Source organism: Homo sapiens, chromosome 3 (genome assembly GCF_000001405.40).
Source record: "Homo sapiens chromosome 3, GRCh38.p14 Primary Assembly".
NCBI lineage: Eukaryota > Metazoa > Chordata > Mammalia > Primates > Hominidae > Homo > Homo sapiens.
In genome coordinates, this window is record NC_000003.12 from 98985529 (window position 1) to 99005464 (window position 19936).

The 19936-nt window shown below is 37.7% G+C and overlaps 1 long non-coding RNA gene and 1 other non-coding gene across 7 annotated transcripts in view; both read left to right on the forward strand.

The window, feature by feature from the left end:
• Positions 1 to 13313, forward strand: part of LINC00973 (long intergenic non-protein coding RNA 973) — an 84276-nt gene extending 70963 nt beyond the window's left edge. For all 6 annotated transcript variants that reach the window (NR_186665.1, NR_186667.1, NR_186668.1 and 3 more), the window contains one exon: positions 12242 to 13313. This is a non-coding gene — a long non-coding RNA (long intergenic non-protein coding RNA 973). The remainder of the gene's footprint in view (positions 1 to 12241) is intronic.
• Positions 1859 to 1921, forward strand: LOC124906343 (U7 small nuclear RNA). The gene has a single exon (XR_007096297.1). It is a non-coding gene; the product is annotated as a U7 small nuclear RNA (small nuclear RNA).
• Positions 13314 to 19936: the final 6623 nt, after the last annotated feature.

The window sequence follows — 19936 nt, forward strand, 5'->3', positions numbered from 1 at the left end:
TTTGATCTTAGTAGTTCACCTTTCTTAAGCTGATTTAAGAGCTCCTCATCATGGTGCCCATGAGTGCTACATCAAATAATACATGTCAAAGCCCTAAAATATTAAGCAATTTCTGGTTAATAAGGAGTTTTTGAACAGAAGGAAATCTGTAACACTGTGAGCTTTTCGGTCTGGGAGTTAAGTAGATATAAACAGGACGAGGAAAGAATACACAATAAGCAACTTATCTCGTTAATTTTCCACACATTCCTAGACATTTGTGAGTGGATAACCTGGGCTTTTATTGTCCAACTGTCACTTTCACTGCATCAATTTAAAAATACAGCTGAAGAGCATGTTTTACTTAGAGTTTGTTTTTAAAACTAGCCAGTTAAATTGATCAGTTGTTAGATCTGACTTGATTACATCTAAGATATTCTCACAGGAAACTGGTTATGATAAGAACTTAAATTCTATCATCTGCTTATGGTAACTTAGCACAAGAAGCATTTTTTTTTAAAGGCCCCTTTCTTATCTTTTATTATTCGAAAATGAAAAACATATTTTTCTAGTATTACTGAGAAACACCAAGGGACCCACCCAACTCCCAGGCTACTCACTGTTCTTTCTCTTAATTGCTTTTGCATCATGTCCAAGTCTGAGCATTTGCACTGAACACATGCTTGATAAACTCTGCTGGCTGAAGATGCTTGTCTGCTTTGCATTCCTCAGCCTGTGAAGGATTTTTTTCTGCTTCACATACCTAAAGGGGCAAAGGTCAAATCCCCTCAGCTGCAGATGAGGTCATATTGCTGATCGCCTGCAGCTGATCACAATAAAAACAAGTTCTCCCATGTGATCCATCCTCCCTATTTAGGAGCAGTGATGTCATCTCTAGTGAGACAGGATGAGACATGCAACTTGTTTTAAATTGAACTACATAAATTTTTCTTCTGACTTCACTGCAATCTTTTATTTACATTTTAGCAAAAGGATTAGTTTGGTCATCGTTTCAAACTAAAAAACACCCATAAATGAAATAGAGGGAGATTATATTTTATAAGTAGTCATTCATATTAAGTTGAGCCACATGAAATCGCCATTTTTCTATGTAAAATGATTGGATATTGGCAATTTCATGGTTCATCCTAATACTTCCAAAGCACCTACCTCCTAGAATATTAAACAAGTTCTAGAATCAGGCAGACCTTAGTTTGAATTCCAACTCTGCCATTTACTAGCTGGGTGATCTTAAAACTTTAGGGTAACTTTCAGAACCTCACTTTACTAAATTAAAAAAAATGAATAACATAATATGTACCTCACAGGGTTATAGCTAACACCTGTAAAGTCCTTAGGAAATCATTTGCCTACAGGAGGCACTCAATCCATGGTGTTAGTAACAATAGAATTAATACTGGTAGTGTAGTAACATAGGTCCCTTAGCCAAAGCCCTAGGGTCAGATGTGTTTCAGAGCTCGTAACTTCTCTGATTTTAGAAAAATCAGAAAAGTTATGAGTGGTGCTTATACTACTGTATACTACTGTATACTTATTATATAGTAGTATAATATTATAGTATTATAATATTATACAGTACTATAATATTATAGTATTATATAGTAGTAGATATATTAGATACCATGAGGATATTATGAGTAGTGCTTATACTACTGTACTGTAGTGCTTATACTCAGGACTAGCTACATAATTTACAGGGCTCTGTGGTGGGGGTGGGGAAAGCAAGGCATCTTGTTAAAAAATTATTAAGGATTTCATGATGCCACAGCAGAGCTTTTAGCCAAGTGCAGGGTCATTGTTAAGTGTAGGGCCCTGTGTGACTGCCCTGTTGTTTACATACTGTCTCAATATATACCCACAGTGTTACAGATCTTTTAGAATTTGTCTAGTACATTTTCCAGTTTTCACCAGGAATCTGCCTCCCCACCCCCCACAAAAAGTGAATAAAAAGAAAGGAAAAAGAAAACAAATAAATAAAATATATGTATACCCACAGCAAGGTCTGAGGACAGTATTCAAACACATTAATGCTTCTCTAGGAAAATGTTTGAATATTGACACTAAGTGGAGTACTTGACATGAAAAAATGCTCACCATCACTGGCCATCAGAGAAATGCAAATTAAAAGCACAATGAGATACCATCTCACACCAGTTAGAATGGCAATCATTAAAAAGTCAGGAAACAACAGGTGCTGAAGAGGATGTGGAGAAATAGGAACACTTTTACACTGTTGGTGGGACTGTAAACTAGTTCAACCATTGTAGAAGTCAGTGTGGCGATTCCTCAGGGATCTAGAACTAGAAATACCATTTGACCCAGCCATCCCATTACTGGATATATACCCAAAGGACTATAAATCATGCTGCTATAAAGACACATGCACATGTATGTTTATTGTGGCACTATTCACAATAGCAAAGACTTGGAACTAACCCAAATGTCCAACAATGATAGACTAGATTAAGAAAATGTGGCACATATACACCATGGAATACTATGCAGCCATAAAAATGATGAGTTCATGTCCTTTGTAGGGACATGGATGAAACTGGAAATCATCATTCTCAGTAAACTATCGCAAGAACAAAAAACCAAACACCGCATATTCTCACTCATAGGTGGGAATTGAACAATGAGAACACATGGCCACAGGAAGCGGAACATCACACTCTGGGGACTGTTGTGGGGTGGGGGGAGGGGGGAGGGATAGCATTAGGAGATATACCTAATGCTAAATGACGAGTTAATGGGTGCAGCACACCAGCATGGCACATGTATACATATGTAACTAACCTGCACATTGTGCACATGTACCCTAAAACTTAAAGTATAATAATAAAATAAAAAAAAAACAATTAAAAAAAAAGACTGTAAATATCTTTCTGTCAGTTCAGGTCAGATTTACCACCAAATGCATTTACCACAAACTTAGGAAAACCTTGCAGTTTTCAGAACATTTTGGATCTGGAATTTCAGATAAGGGACTGTAGTGGGGTTTACATTGTGTTTTCCAGGCTAGCCACACATTGGGGGTTTATGTAACAGACCTGAAGGTCAATCTGAGAATATTGAAGCCAAGGGCAATTGGGTTCGAATCCTGTTTTGACACATAGTAGTTGTGAGACTTTAGGCAAGACACTTTGGAGGCAGGGTTATAATGTGGTTCCCTAGGAGCCTTGGCTGAAGGGATGGGAGGGAAATCACAGCCTTCATTTACTGGTGGATGGATGGGCAGCAAGCTTCTAATGACAACAATAAACATAACCAAACAATGCCCACCACCCCAAAAATGCAAACCCAACAATTTGACTTCGTCTTCTACTTTATTTAGAGTTCTGCCTTCACTTACTGTCTTCTGATGCCTCTCATCATGGTGTTAACTGTCATGCTAACATATTTTCTTTACAAATGCGCTCTTAATACAGAATGTGACCAGGGAGTGAAGCTGTGTGATATGGTTTGAATCTATGTCCCTGCCCAAATCTCATGTCGAAATGTAATCCTCAACATTAGAGGTGGGGCCTGGTGGGAGGTGATTGAATCATGGGGGCAGACCCTTCATAAATGGTTTAGCACCATCTCCTTGGTGTTGTTCTTGTGATAGAGTTCTCAGAGAGCTGGTTGTTTAAAAGTGTGTTGCTCCTCCCTCCTGACCCTGCCACTGTTCCCCCCTTGCTAGACACCTTGCTGTCCTTTTGCCTTCTGCTGTGATTGGAAGCTTCCTGAGGCTTCGCCAGAAGCAGAAGCCACTATGCTTCGTGTATTGCCTGCAGACCCATGAGCCAATTAAACCTCTTTTCGTAATAAATTACTCAGTCTCAGGTATTTCTTTATAGCAGTGTGAGAATGAACTAATACACTGTGCCTCCTGTCTAAGCATCCATCCCAGCTCTGTCTTTGGCCAAAATTTGAGTCTGTGGAATAATAATGGGTGCCATTTATTGCAACTTACCATTTTGGTGAACAAAGGGCAGTTCCATCCATGTATAGTAGGGGCTTGGAATCAGGTTTCTTATTGGAATCTATGATGTATTTATCAGAAGCTATATATACTTGTATTATCCTACAATGACTCAATGGAATGATTCCTGAGGCAAGCAGTCTTAATGAAACCAAGTTGATTTTTCTCACAATGCAGAAAGAAATCAGATTAATTTAACCTGTATAATATTTATTATTTTATTAATTATGTAATCTTCTTAGGATATAAAATAAGTGGACAGAATTTTTAAAAGTTTAAGAGGATGGGATTTTAATGGAAAACCGCAAAACACTTGAACAGAAAGAGATGCACAGACATACACTAGAAAAAAATACTATACCTTAATATCCTTACAGATTAAGAAATAAAATAGTTGATAGAATTGTCCTAGTGGAGCATGAGACAATGAAATCATTTCAAGCATGCTGGAGTGAGAAAATTAAGGTCAGAACCTGTATTTCATCCATTTGCATCCTAGAAAATGAGGCTGCCTAAGAAAGCAAGCATGACCAACTCCAATTATTTTTTGCAAGCGGCATGTGCAATTGTGCTATCATTCAATAGAAGTTCAAAGTAGGAAAGTATCTTATTATGGTTGAGAATACACCAAGAAATTTCCAGTGGAAACAACTGGATTGTTAAACTGAATGAAAATATTCAGAAATGAGTGTGTTTACCATAAAGTATCTAAATTCTAGATGCAAAACATCTGAATGTAAGTTATCCATGTAATAAGCAGAAGTGAGTATAAATAATACAATCATTGAGACCGAGAAAGAGGTGGGTTATTTGATAAGAACTGCAGATGACTACTTTCCCCAGGAAAGGTATGCCCTTCAGTAACCACCTACTACCATGTCTACCCTTACTTTTCGGAGGGAATAGCAGACTCTTCATAACTACTAGAGCCCTTTCTTATTTTGTGGGAGGTATGGGATGCCATGACTCCCTTGAAAAATCTGCACTTACCTTTTATGGGAGAAGTCTCATGCTTCACAATGTCTAGAGATTTGGAATTTCTAATTTTTTTTTCATGTTTCACAGTCTTCTTTCCAATCTCTTAATATGGTATTCATTTTACTCTTTAAAATTCCTCCCTTGATTTTACCTGCTATTTGTACAGTACATGTACAAGTTTAAAAATAAGAATAGCCATGCTTATATCGCATGGACTCTGTGCTAGGCACTGTTCTGAATGCTTCACATGTATCTATTCATCTAACCTCACAATGTCTCTAAGAGCCACCTTAATGATTACCATTTCCATCTTAAAAATGAGGAAACTGACTTACAGAGAGGTTAAGCACCTTGCATCACTAATAAGTGGCAGAGCCCTGATTTCGATCCAAGGAGTCTGGTTCCAAAATCTTGCTTAACCACTCATGCTACTGTTCTACCTTAGCAGACTTTCCCTTAGTAGGTTATTTTATTGGTGCCTTTAGTCCTGAATCATTTTATCCCTTCATGTTTGGAAAGTATTCAATTCTTATAACAAACCAGAAATAAATGCCAAAAGCATCTTTGAAATCTTTTGAACTTCTCCTATTTGAGACATTTTTTAGACCTATCATCATGGACTTCACTTTCCCAACAGACTTGGATTTTAACAACTTCAGCACAGTGTTGCTATAACATCAGATACTGGGAAGGCACAATGGGACTCACCCACTTAGATTTCTGTGATGGGGCTTACTTCACACTCTAGACTCCAGAATCTTAAATCTTTTTTTTTGAGGTGGAATTTCGCTCTTCTTGCCCAGGCTAGAGTGCAACGGCACGATCTCCAGAATCTTAATTTTAATGGGCAGTGAGGGTCAATCCAGTCAAATAATTTATTTAACAAATACCTGGAAGGGTTCTTAATCTTAGAACTTTAGGAATACAAAAATTTTTTTTGAGAATCATTGCACTCACATTCTGTATTTAATTACATACAGTTTATTCATATATGACAGTTATCAATTTATTGCCCCTTAGCTCCAAATTTACTCTCCAATATTTGTTCTGTGATAAAGGAAGGAATTATTGTAAGCATCTCCTTTACAGTGAGGATGATGTTCAACATCCTCAGTAGAGGGCACTAGAAGGACATAGGAGGCAAAAGGGGATCTTCTGCTGCTTCCAGTGATTGTAGGGTCAGTTAGTGGTGTGATGATGAAGACAGGGTTGTGCTGTGTCCCAGCCAAAAGCCCAGAATATTTGGCCCCTACACAACCTTGAAGCTCCTGCCTGACCTGGTGATCAATTTCCTGGTCCTTATTGACAGAGACACTAGGAAACACTGCACTCTAGGCCTCTTCTCCTCAGGGTATTTGTTCTTCTTATTACTCCTATGTCTCTAACCACTTTCTGAAGCTCACTTATACTCTCACCATGCCTGGAAGGTTGACTCTGCTTGCCAGCGTGCTGGCCACTGGCTGTATAAAGCGTGAGCCCCAGAGGGTTGTTTCCTGCTTGCTCAGTGACTGCAGAAGATCTGGTCCAGGCAAAGAGGAAACCTCTCTGCTGTCCACTGGGCTGCAATCTTACTTTTTCCAACCCAGACTTGGGGAGAAGTCACACGTTCCAAATTTGGCCTTTCTTTAGTGCTCTCCTCATCCTACGGTAGCATATTTAGCCTTAAAAATATTTTATAGTTACACTTTGACCATAGTTTAATAACTTTGTATATTAAACTTCCCCTGTTTAAATCACTATATGATTTCTGACTCCTGATTGGACCTGAACATCTATATGATAAATATATACAATAAAACAGAGAAGATATTCAATAGATTCTGGTGTCAGACCATTTCCTTTTTACTAGGAGTTTCCAACCCCATAGCTCTTTCTTGATATTCTTCATTTGTTTGTTTCATTCATAGTAGACTTAATTTTTTTGTAGTTAGGTTTACAGAAAAATGAACAGAAAAATGAGCAGAAAATACAGATAATTTCAATAGGACCCTTGCCCTCTCCCTTCAGTTTCCTCTGTTATTAACATCTTTCATTAGTGTGACATATCTGTTAGAATTGATAAGCCAATATTAATGCATTACTGTGAAATAAAGTCTATAGTTTACACCCAGTTGTACATTCTGTGTTTTTTCAAATGTATCTGTCACTGCTGTATCCTACAGAATAGTTTCACTGCCCTAAAAATTTTGTCCCTCCTTCTGACCTCCTGAACCCCTGACAACCACTGATCTTTGTACTATCTTCAGTTTTGCCTTTCCCAGAATGTCATATGGTTATATTGATACGGAATATAGCCTTTTCAGATTGACATCTTTTACTTAGCAATATATGTTTAAGGTTCTTCCATGCATTTTCATGTCTTCACACCTCATTTCTTTTTATTGCTAAATAATTCATCATATCTGGATGTACCACAGTTTATTTTTTTTACTTCCAACTTTTATTTTAGGTTCAGGGGTACATGTGCATGTTTGTTATATAGGTAAATTGCATGTTGTGGGGGTTTGGTATACAGATTATTTCATCACCCATGTAATGAACATAGTACCTGAGTAGTTTTTTGATCCTCTCCCTCCTCCTACCCTCCATCCTCAAGTAGAACCTAGTATCTATTTTTCCCTTCTTTGTGTCCATCTGTGCTCAATGTTTAGCTCCGACTTATAAGACAGAACATGTGATATTTGGTTTTCTGTTCCTGCATTAATTTGCTTAGGATAATGGCTTCCACCTCCATCCATGCTTCCACAAAGGACATGATTTCATTCTTTTTTATGGCTGCATAGTATTCCATGTGCACCGCGGTTTCTTTATCCATTCACCTATTGAAGGACAGCTTGGTTGTTTCCAAGTTTGGGAAATTATGAATAAAACTGCTATAAATATTTATGTGCTTTTTTTGCATAGACAAAAATTTTAAACTTCTTTTGGATAAATACCAAGGAGCATTATTACTGGATCTTGTGGTAAGAATGTTTAGGTTTTAAAGAAATTGCCAAAGTGTCTTACACAGTGACCTGTACCATTTTGCCTGCCTGCCTGCCTTCCTTGCTCCAATTTTCTTTCTTTCTTCTCTGAAGACAACTGTATAATGTGGCACTGCACAATCTCTCTCTAACCAAAGGGTGCAACCCCAGTGTTCTGCTGAAGATGCTCTACCTTCTTTTCTTGTGACATATAGTGACCTCTGCTTGCTGTGACCCTAGAAGGGGCTTTAAAGTTGGTTTGGAAGGAGGATGCTTAGGCCTGCTGTATCACAGGAACATAGATTCTCCTTTTCATTCAGGATTGTGACACTTGCTGTGTAATTCAACTGCAGGATATAGCTTCCCTTCATGAAATCAGCTTCTTAATTGTTGGCAGAATTGGGAACCTTGGAAAATAAAGCCAAAAGGTTATGGAGATATTAAGTGGAAAACAGCTAGACATTTAAAAATATATAGTTCCTGAAGGACACTCCCTGAATGCCTATACATTAGAAGTTCCTGTTGGTTGAGGATGGCTAATAGTCTCCCATAGAAAAGAGCCAATGAGGACTCATCAATATTCCAGAATAAGCTTTGGATTTGGAGGTTTGAGAGAGGAGTGAGTTATGAATATGTAAGGAAAGCTCTTTGCACATGGAACTATTTTATAATTCAGCCTCATGTGTCTCCTAAAGCCTGACAGCTCTCAGTTGACTCTTCTCTGATCTCACAGCTTCCTGCATTCTCCTTCATCCTTCCTCAAAACAATTATGCTCTAGGCATTGAATAGAAAATTCTCTGCTGTTCAACATGCCATAAAATGAGAAGAACTAGGGAGAAGCATTCATTTCTTGCTTATACCACAGAAGAATTAAGATGGAAAAAATGGGCATGAGATTCCATGTTTTTCCTTAGGACAGTATTTCCCTCTGCTGGTGAAAGCCTGTAACTTTTTTATCACCAGTTAATGTAGCTTGAAAAGAAGTAATCAACCAGGATTGTCATTTGAGTCTGTGTTCTGGGGAATCATTTGGTGTTCTCTTGCACATAATGTGTAGTTTTTAGAATCTAACAAAACTGCAGTGGAAATGATGTGTTACCTCTTCTTATTTTTTCACATATTCAATTCTAAAATATCCTTTCCCAAACAATGCTCTGGTGTCTGGGAGAAACTGCATTTATTTCACCAAATGAGCATCTCTCTCTCAGCTTGTGGTTTACTTTCCTCAGAGCCCAATTAATTATAATTTAGAAGGGAACCTCTTTTAATGCTTATCCCTGAAAACTCTCCTCTTTCTCTCCAGAGAATTAATGGTGTAATTGTATTCCATAGAGTTTGGAAATAATAGGTGTCTCACATCAAATTCAGTTGGCATAATAAGATCCTTGTGATTTTTGTAACCTGAAGCTATTCCACAAATTTCTCTCTTCTGAGGAAGGTTAACTCAGACAGTCCTAGAGGAATTGGGCTGTTATAGTGCCTTACCTGGAAGTAGACCACAGGAGATTTCTTAATAGACTCAAAAGAGGATAACTGAGCCCTATAACATGTACACATTTTAACACTAGTGTGATTTTTGCATGGATATTTAGCAAAAAGAAAGAAACAAATGTAAATACAGGGAGAAAAAGGAAATTGGCTTTGGGATTTGACTCACCTCTACATTTTGATGAAGGCAATGGGGTAAATAATTAAAACAATGTATTTATAGATGGCTTTTAGAGTATTACCTGAATGCTGTTGCTACTGCAATGGGCTTAGGTGATGTATTATGAGCATAAATATTTACCTGTATCCTTAACACACTAATAATTATTCCAAGCTTACCTCCTAATTTATTTTGACAGCTTGAATGTCCTCTTTTTGATTCTGTTTTTAACTATGTGTGTTTTTTGAATTGAATATTTACTTTCTCCTAAAACTAATATTATTTTGGGAAGTCTTAAAAACTAATTTTCAAAAAAGGTGAAACTCATGACTGTCAAAGAAATAAAAATGAACAGACGGTAAATATTTTATTCTACTCATTTACCAATGAGGGAACCAGGGAGATGTTACAGCTGGCTCAGAAGAGAATCTGAAGACCAGACACATTTATAAATCAGAAATATTAAAATGAACTTGCAGGTGGGGGCAAAATTGGTTTTTCCACAGGAGGGGAAGGGAAATCAATTGGACTTTTATTGAACAGGATGGAATTTGCATGTCAATAGGCAAGAATTATTTTTGTGTTGTTACCATTTATTTTCAATTTACAGAGTTGCAAACTAGCTTAAAGACAATAAAACAGTTGAATCAGATAATCCTTAAGGTGTCCTTTAAAGTGTAAACTTCCAGTATATTTTTTCTCCTGCAGGAGAAAATAATTTTCTATTTGATCCTCTTTCCTCAATCAGTTTCCTTAGAAAACAGGCAGATGTAAGGCTCTCTCTGCAACTCCTAAGTTTCTAGATTAGATTCTTCTTGTTATTTCTCTCATACATGACACAGTGAAGTTAGATAAGAATTTGGATAGTGCACATGTGAGATGATCCATCGTTAGAAGTCTTCCCCCCGATGAAGTTTTATTTAACTATGTAAAATATCCAATTTTCTTTGTTTCTTAGTTTATATTTATTTTGTTCATTGACTTTTTCTTTCAATTCCATTTAGCAAATATTTTTGAATCACTTATCCAGCGTCAGCTTTAAGAAAATAGAAGTAAGACAAAGCCTCTGTCCTCAAGAAACTTGAATACAACAGATATGAACTTTACTTCATATACTCAGAGATACAAAACATATCAACATGCTTTAGTTTCTTTAAATCAAATATATTCTGAATCTGAGACCCAGCCACCTGTTTAGCAGAAAATTTAATCTCATTCATTACCTGTCTTCCTTGGAATCATATGTAAGTCCCAAGAGTTTTATTGAAAAGCTGATGGGTTTATGAAACTATTAACTCAAGGCTGAGTAGAATAAGAATTAATAACATGGGACTGAATGAACTGGTGAGAGAAGATAATGGTTTTTCTTTGGAATATTGTTAGTTCTTTAATGCTCCATTTTTTGGATATAAGAAACCCCTTTCTTTTTTCTCTTAAACTATCCATAAATTACAATGATTTAGTATATTATACTTTTGTAAACAGAAATGAAACATTTATCTTTTCCCTTTCCTGATCCCTTCAGAATTCCAAAGCTCTTTTTGAATATTCTTATTTTCATGGTAATATAATTATTTACATAAGTTCAATAAGAATCTACCTTTTTTATTTTACCAGGACATAATTGGAAACATTGGTTGTATTAACCAAGGCTTTGACTGGAATGTTATATTTAAGAATAATAGGCATAGAATCAGATATGACCAGACAGATTTAAGGAGTTAAGGTTGACTTTACGGAACCAATGCTTAAAAAGCCCTTCTAGAAAAAATAGCCTGGGAACTAACTTATAGTGTTTGCAGCATTCCATGTGAGTAATGTAGTTTTTATTCAGGCAGGCCTAGGAAACTTAGAGTATTTTGGGGACTTCAAGGAGAGAGGGATTCACCCAAATTGGTAGGTATTGAAGGTAAAATCTGGTGGCAAAGTCTTGGCTTGGTTTCCTAGTCTTGAGAGGATTTTAGAAGTCTAATCTGAGATTCCTTATGAAAAGTTTCAGCAAAGCAAACTTAAAAAGGTCTTTGTGGTCAATTATAGTCTTGCTGCACCTAGGTAAACAATCATGCCAGATCTAATGAGACCAGACTTATTCTGAAGACAAGAATAACCTTACTTTAGTTATCTTTAATCAAAATGAGGGTGATTGTAGTGAGAAATTTTGTATTTTCATGGAAAGCTATAGCATACTTTTCTGAGTGTTCATTGTTTTAGAGCTATTTTTCGCCTCCTGGTAACTCCATTTTACTTTCTACTTTATTATCTATCTGTAAACTAGACTGGAACCTCCTCAACTTTTCTAGTTTCCTCTGAAATCTGGCTACATATCTCCAAATGAACATTTCCAATTTTTCTCCCACACTCCTGACTTTGCATTACTGAGAACTAAAACCTGATTGCCCATGTTCTTCTTGGGACTATCTAAAGAAGCCCTGTATTTGAAGCTAGATGTTTCCATGCTCTGTTCTGAGAAATAACCAAAACTGCAGCACTAATGCATGTATCATCACCAAAGACATTCAAACTGCAAGCCAGGAAATCTGTCAGCTCTCCACTGCCATCCTCACTCCACCATCTAAAAATGCTTTTAACCCAACATAAACTCTTGTCAGCTGGTTATACTCTGGACTCAGAAACTGGGTTTTCAGCTTGCTTCAACCATTAATTTTTGTCTTACTTTGTTTTCCTAGAAACTCTCCTCCTTCAATACCTGACTACTTGCACCATCCAGCAGATATCCTCTACTACCAAGTCTCAACAGATGGTTCAGCTGGTCTTTAATGAACAAAAGGCATTTGTGTAATGGACTCTTATTGCTCAAGAAGAATTTCTTCCTTCCTGAAACATGAGGAGAAACTGACAAAAACTGTCTCCTTGACCAAACCCTAGTCAGTTGCCTATAAGCCCTGTAGGCTGTGACCTTAGTGTCTATCCTTATCAGACACGCATTACACAACCATAGCAACAGTCTTGCTAAGTTGGTTTAACCAGAACCCCTACCCTTGATATCTGATTTAATTTATAATTCCCCTGAGTCCCCGAGGTGACATCCATTCATCCTGGCCAGCTTTCAATAAGAATCCTATTGGATTATTTAGCTAGAAATCACCCCTTACACTTAATGCTTCCTTTTAGTAATTTTGCATCCACTAACCCCGACCTTGCTCGTTGGCTATAAATCCACAAGTTGTCCGTGTTGTGTTTGGAATTGATTACAATTCTATATTGAGGTCTCTTTTCCCATATTGCAATAGTTCCTGATTAAAATCTGCTTTTGCCCATTGATATGGTTTGGTTGTGTACCCACTCAAATCTCATCTTGAATTGTAGCTCCCATGATTCCCATAATTGAATCATGGCAGCAGTTTACCCCATACTGTTCTTGTGGTAGTGAATAAGTCTCATGAGATCTGATGGTTTTATAAGGGGTTTCCACTTTCACTTGATTCTGACTCTCTTTTGTTTGCCGCTATGTAAGACATGCCTTTCACCTTCTGCCATAATTGTGAAGCCTCCCCAGCCACATGGAACTGTGAGTCCGTTAAACCTCATTTTCTTTATATATAAATTACCCAGTCTCAGGTATGTCTTTATCAGCAGCATGAAAATGGACTAATACACTCCTTTAACTGTGTAGCTCTGGTGTTCTTTGATGAGCTAGAAACTGTAAATCTCTGGAAGTCAAATCTTCATTTGAACTGGTTGTTATATATTATTGATTCTCTCAATTATTTAGTTAAATAAAAGTCTTGACATGTTAAATTTGTATTTGCAGTTGTGATTTTTATCCTCTTCTAAAATGTATCCTGTTACAGTCCCACTAATATAGCCCCCATTGAACCTCACATGTTATTTGAAGTCACTTTCCTGACACAGTAGGGATGATGATTTTTGCCAGGGATCTGTAGTTTTTGGGATGCTGCATGATTGTGCAAGTTTTGTAGTACTCAGCTCTAGATGGTGCCATTCACATAGAGCATGGGTAAAACTTTGTAGATAGTAAATACGCCACAACTAGTAAACTCTACTACTGTAGCTCAAAAGCAGCCATACACAATATCTTAACGAATAGGATTGACTGTGTTGCAAAAATATTTTTTTAAATTTTTTATTTGGTTTTGGTTTATAATTTTAAAAATAATTTCAAGTTTTATTTTAGATTCAGAAAGTACATGTACACGTTTGTTACATGGCTATACTGCATGATGCTTAGGTTTGGGGTATGATTGATTCTGTCACCCAGGTAGTGAGCATGGTATGAAATGGTTAGTTTTTCAAACCTTGCCCCCTTTCTCCCACCTCTATTAGTCCCCAGTGTTTATTGTTGCCATCTTTATGTCCATGAGTACCCAATGTTTAGCTCCCACTTATAAGTGAAAACAGGTAGTATTTGGTTTTCTGCTTCTGCATTAATTTACTTAGGATAATGGCCCCCAGCTACATCAATGTTGCTGCAAAGAACACATGTTCATTCCTTTATATGACTGCGTAGCATTCCATGTTGATTCCATATCTTTACTATTGTGAGTAGGGCTGTCATAAACATATGGGTGCACATGTCTTTTTGGTAGAACAACTTATTTTCTTTTGGATATATACTCAGTAATGGGATTGCTGGGTCAACTGGTACTTTTGTTTTAGGTTCTTTGAGAAATCTCTAAAGCACTCTCACAGTGGCTGAACTAATTTATATTCCCACCAACAATATATAGGTGTTTCCTATTCTCTACAACCTTGCCAGCATCTGTTGTTTTTTGACCTTTTAGTAATAACCATTCTGACCAGTGTGAGAGGCTATCTCACTGTGGTTTTGATTTGCATGTCTCTGATGTTAGCTATGTTGATCATTTTTTTCATATGTTTGTTGGCTGCTTGTATGTCTTCCTTTGAGAAATGTCTGTGCATGTATTTCACCCACTTTTTAATGTGGTTGTTTGCTTTTTTTCTTGTTGAATTGTTTAAGTTCCATATAGATTCTGGATATTAGACCTTCATTAGATACAGAGCTTGCAAATATCTTCTCCCATTCTCTGGACTGTTTGTTTACTATGTTGACTATTTCTTTTGCTGTGCAGAAGCTCTTTAGTTTAATTACGTCCCACTTGTCAATTTTTATTTTTGTTGTGATTGCTTTTGAGGACTTAGCCATACACTTCTTCTCAAGGTTGATGTCCAGAATAGTGTTTCCTAGGTTTTCTTCTAGTATTATGACAGGCTGATGGTCCAGTTTTATTTGTCTGCATATGGCTAGCCAGTTATCCCAGCACAATATATTGAATGGGGAATCCTTCCCCATTGCTTATCTTTGTCAACTTCATGAAAGATCAGATGGCTGTGGGTGTGTGGCTTTATTTCTTCTATTCTGTTCCATTAGTCTATGTGTCTCTTTTTGTATCAGTCCTACGCTACTTTGGTTACTGTAGGCTCATGGTATAGTTTGTAGTTGGATAATGTGATGCCTCTGACCTTGTTCCTTTTGCTTAGGATTTCTTTAGTTATTCAAGCTCTTTTTTTGCTTCCATATGAATTTTTGAATAGTTTTTTCTAATTCTGTAAAAAATTACATTGGTCATTTGATAGGAATAGCATTGAATCTGTAGATTGCTTTGGGCAGTATGACGATTTTCATGATATTGATTCTTCTCATCCATGATCATGGAATGTTTTTCCCTTTGTTTGTGTCGTCTATAATTTCTTCTAGCAGTGTTTTGTGGTTCTCCTTGTAGAAATCTTTCACCTCCTTGGTTAGATGTATTCCTTGTTTGTGTGTGTGTGTTTGGTGGCCATTGTTAATGCAATTGCATTCTTGATTTGGCTCTCAGCTGGGATGCTGGTGTATAGAAATGCCACTGATTGTTGTACATAGATTTTGTGTCCTGAAATTTCACTGAAGTTATTTATCAGTTCCAGGAAACTTTTAGCAGAGTTGTTAGGGTTTTCTAGGTATAGGTTCATATCATCAGTAAAGACAGATAGTTTGACTTCTTCTTTCCCTATTTGATGCCTTTTATTTCTTTCTCTTGCCTGACTTCTCTGGCTAGGACTTTTAATATCATGTTGAATAGGAGTGGTGAGAGTGGCGTCCTTGTTGTGTTTCAGTTCTCAAAGCAGATGCTTCCAGTTTTTGCCCATTTAGGGTGATGTTGGCTGTGGGTTTGTGAAAGGTGACTCTTATTGTTTTGAGGTATGTTCCTTTGATGGCTAATTTGTTGAGGGTTTTTATTATGAAAGAATGTTGGATTTTATCAAAACCATTTTCTGCATCTTTCGAGATGCAGAATCATATGGGTTTCGTTTTTAAATCTGTTTATGTTGTGAATCACATTTATTGATTTACATATATTGAATCAACTTTGTGTCCCAGGAATGAAGCTTACTTGATTGTGGTAAATTAACTTTTTGATGTGCTGCTGGATTCAGTTTGCTAGTGTTTTGTTGAGGATTTTCATGTCCATGTTCATCAGGGATATCAGTCTATATAATTTTTTGCTGTTGTGTCTGTCAGGTTTTGGTATCAGGGTGATGCCAGCCTCATAGGATCAGTTAGTGTATTAATCTGTTTTCATGCTGCTGATAAAGACATACCCAAGATGGGGCAATATACAAAAGAAAGAGGTTTAATTGGACTTACAGTTCCACACAGCTAGGGAGGCCTCACAATCATGGCAGAAGGCAAGGAGAAGCAAGTCACATCTAGTGGATGGCAGCAGGCAATAAAAAGAGATTGTGCAGAGAAACTCCCATTTTTTAAAGCCATCAGGTATTGTGAGACCCATTTACTATCACGAGAACAGCATGGAAAAGACCAGCCCCCAAGATTCAGTCATCTCCCACCAGGTCCCTCCCACAATACGTGCGAATTGTGGGAGCTACAAGATGAGATTTGGGTGCGGACACAGAGCCAAACCACATCATTCCACCCCAGCCCCTCCCAAATTTCATATCTTCACATTTCAAAATGAATCATGGCTTCCCAACAGTCCACCAAAGTTTCAACTCATTTCAGCATTAACTCAAAAATCCATGGTCCAAAGTCTTATCTAAGACTGCCCATTCCTACTGCCCATTAGCCTGTAAAATCAAAAGCAAGTTAGTTATGTCCTAGATACAATGGGGGTATAGGCATTGGGTAAATACAGCCATTCCAAATGGGAGAGATTGGCTGAAACAAAGGGGCTACAGGCCCCATGCAAGTCCGAAATCCCGCAGGGCCGTCCAATCTTACAGCTCCAAAAATAATCTCCTTTGACTCCATGTCTCACATCCAGGTCATGCTGATGCAAGAGGTGGGTTCCCAAGGTCTTGGGCAGCTCCACCCCTGTGGCTCTGCAGGGTAGAGCCTCCCTCCTGGCTGCCTTCATGGGCTGGCATTGAATGTCTGCAGCTTTTCCAGGTGTACACTGCAAGCTGTCAGTGGTCCTACCCATTCTGGGGTCTGGAGAACAGTGGCCATATTCTCACAGCTCCACTAGGTGACACCCCAGTAGGGATTCTGTGTGGGGGCTCCTACCCCACATTCCCCTTCTGCACCACCCTAGCAGAGGTGGGTGAGGGCCCCTCCCCTGCAGCAAACTTTTGCCTGGGCATCCAGGTGTTTTCATACATCTTCTGAAATCTAGGCAGCGGTTTCCAAACCCCAGTTCTTGACTTCTGTGCACTTCTGGGCTCAACACAACATGAAAGCTGCCAAGGCTTGAGGCTTGCACCCTCTGAAGCCACAGCACAAGCTTTATGTTGGCCCCTTTCAGCCATGGCTGGAGGAGCCTTATGTTGGCTCCTTAGGATGAGAGGCGCCAAGTCCCTAGGCTGCACACAGCACAGGGACCCTGGGCCCAGCCCACGGAACCACTTTTTTCTCCTAGGCCTCCAGGTCTGTGATGCCAGAAGCTGCTGTGAAGACCTCTGCCATGCCGTGGAGACATTTTCGCCATTGTCTTGGTGATTAACATTTGGTTCCTTGTTATTTATGAAAATTTTTGCAGCTGGCTTGAATTTCTCCTCATAAAATGGGATTTTCTTTTCTATCACGTTGTCAGGCTGCAGATTTTCCTAACTTTTGTGCTTTGCTTTCCTTATAAAACTGAATGCATTTAACAGCAGCCAAGTCACCTCTTGAATGTTTTGCTGCTTGGAAACTGAATGCCTTTAACACCACCCAAGTTACCTCTTGAATGCTTTGCTGCCAGATAACCTAAATCATCTCTCTCAAGTTCAAAGTTCCACAGATCTCTAGGGAAGGGGCAAAATGCCACCTGTCTCTTTGCTAAAACATAACAAGAGCCACCTTTGCTCTAGTTCCCAACAAGTTTCTCATCTACATTTGAGACCACTTCAGCCTAGACCTTATTGTTTATATCACTATCAGGCTTTTGGTCAAAGCCATTCAACAAGTCTCTAGGAAGTTACAAACTTTCCCACATTTTCCTGTGTTCTGAGTCCTCCAAACTGTTCCAACCTTTGCCTGTTACCCAGTTCCAAAGCTGCTCCCACATTTTTGGGTATCTTTTCAGCAATGCCCCACTCTACTGGTACCGATTTACTGTATTAGTCTGTTTTCATGCTGCCAATAAAGACATACCCGAGACTGGGCAATTTACAGAAGAAAGAGGTTTATTGAATTTACAGTTCCATGTGGCTGGGGAGGCCTCACAATCATGATGGAAGTTTAAAGACACATCTCACACGCTGACATACAAGAGAAGAACTTGTGCAGACAAATTCCCATTTTTTAAAAAACCATCAGATTGCATGAGACCCATTCACTATTATGAGAACAGCATGGGAAAGGCCCACACCCATTATCCAATCATCTCCTACTGGGTACCTCCCACAACATGTGGGAATTATGGGAGCTATAAGATGAGATTTGGGAGGGGGCACAGAGCCAAACCATATCAGTTAGGTAGGAGTCTCTCCTTCTAAATTTTTTGGAATAGTTTCAGTAGAATTAGTACCAGTTCTTCCTTGTATTACTGGTAGCATTTGACTGTGAATCCATCTAGTCCAGAACTTTTTTCTGGTTTTTAGCTTTTTTATTACTGGGTAAATTCTGTACATGATACTGGTCTGTTCAAGGTTTCAATTTCTTCCTGATTCAATCTTGGAAAGTTGTGTGTTTCCAGGAATTTACTCATTTTCCTCTAGTTTTTTTAGTTTGTATGCATAAAGGTGTTTCTACTAGTCTCTGAGGATCTTTTGCATTTTTGTGGGATCAGTAGAAATGTAACCTTTGTCATTTCTGATTGTGCTTATCTGATTTACCTCTCTTTTTGTCTTTATTAATCTAGCTAGCAGTCTATAGATCTTGTTCATCATTTTAAAGAGCCAACATTTGGTTTTGTTGAGCTAAAATGTATGGATACTTGGTTCTCAATTTTGCTCAGTTCTGCTCTTAGTTTTTTTTTGTTTTTCTGCTAGCTTTAGGGTTAGTTTGTTTTAGTTTTTCTAATTTTTCTAGGTGTTTTGTTATTTCATTAATTTGAGAAGTTCCTAACTTTAGTACTATCAACTTTCCTCATAACACTGCTTTTGCCATATCCCAGAGATTTTGATATGTTGTGTCTCTGTCTTCATTTATTTCAAAGAACTTTAAAATTCCTGCCTTAATTTTGTTGTTTACCCAAAGATGTTCTTTCAGGAGCAAGTTGTTTAATTTCCATGTAATTGTATGGTTTGGAAATATTTTCTTGGTACTGATTTCTATTTTTATTCCACTGTGGTTCAATAGTATTATTGGTATAATTTCAATTTTTTGAATTTATTGATACTTGCTTAATGGCGAGCATGTGGTTGATCTTTCAGTATGTTCTGTGTGCAGATGAGAAGAATGTGTATTCTGTGGTTGATGGATGAAGTTGTCTGTAGATATCTATTAGGTTAAATTGGTCAACTGTCAAATTTAGTCCAGAATTTCTTTGTGTTCTGCCTTGATGAACTGTCTAATGCTGTCAGTTGGGTGTTGAAATCCTCCTCTATTATTGTTTCATTGTCTATGGCTTTTTGTAGGTCTAGAAGTACTTGTTTTATGAATCTAGGTACTCCAATGTTGGGTGCACATATAATTAGAATTAGAAAATCTTCTTGTTGAATTGAATCCTTTGTCATTATATAGTACCCTTTTTTGTCCATTTTTTCCCTGTTTTTGGCCTAAAGTCTGTTTTATGTGATACAAGAATAGAATCTTTTTCATTTTCTATCTGCATGATAAATCTTTCTCCAATCCTTTACTTTGAGCTTTTGAGTGTCATTACTTGTGAGATGGGTCTCTAGAAGATATCACATAGTTGGGTCTTGCTTCTTTATCCAACTTACTACTGTGTGTCATTTAAGTGGGGGAATTTAGACCCTTGACATTGAAAGCTAATATCTAAATCTGAGGTTTTCAT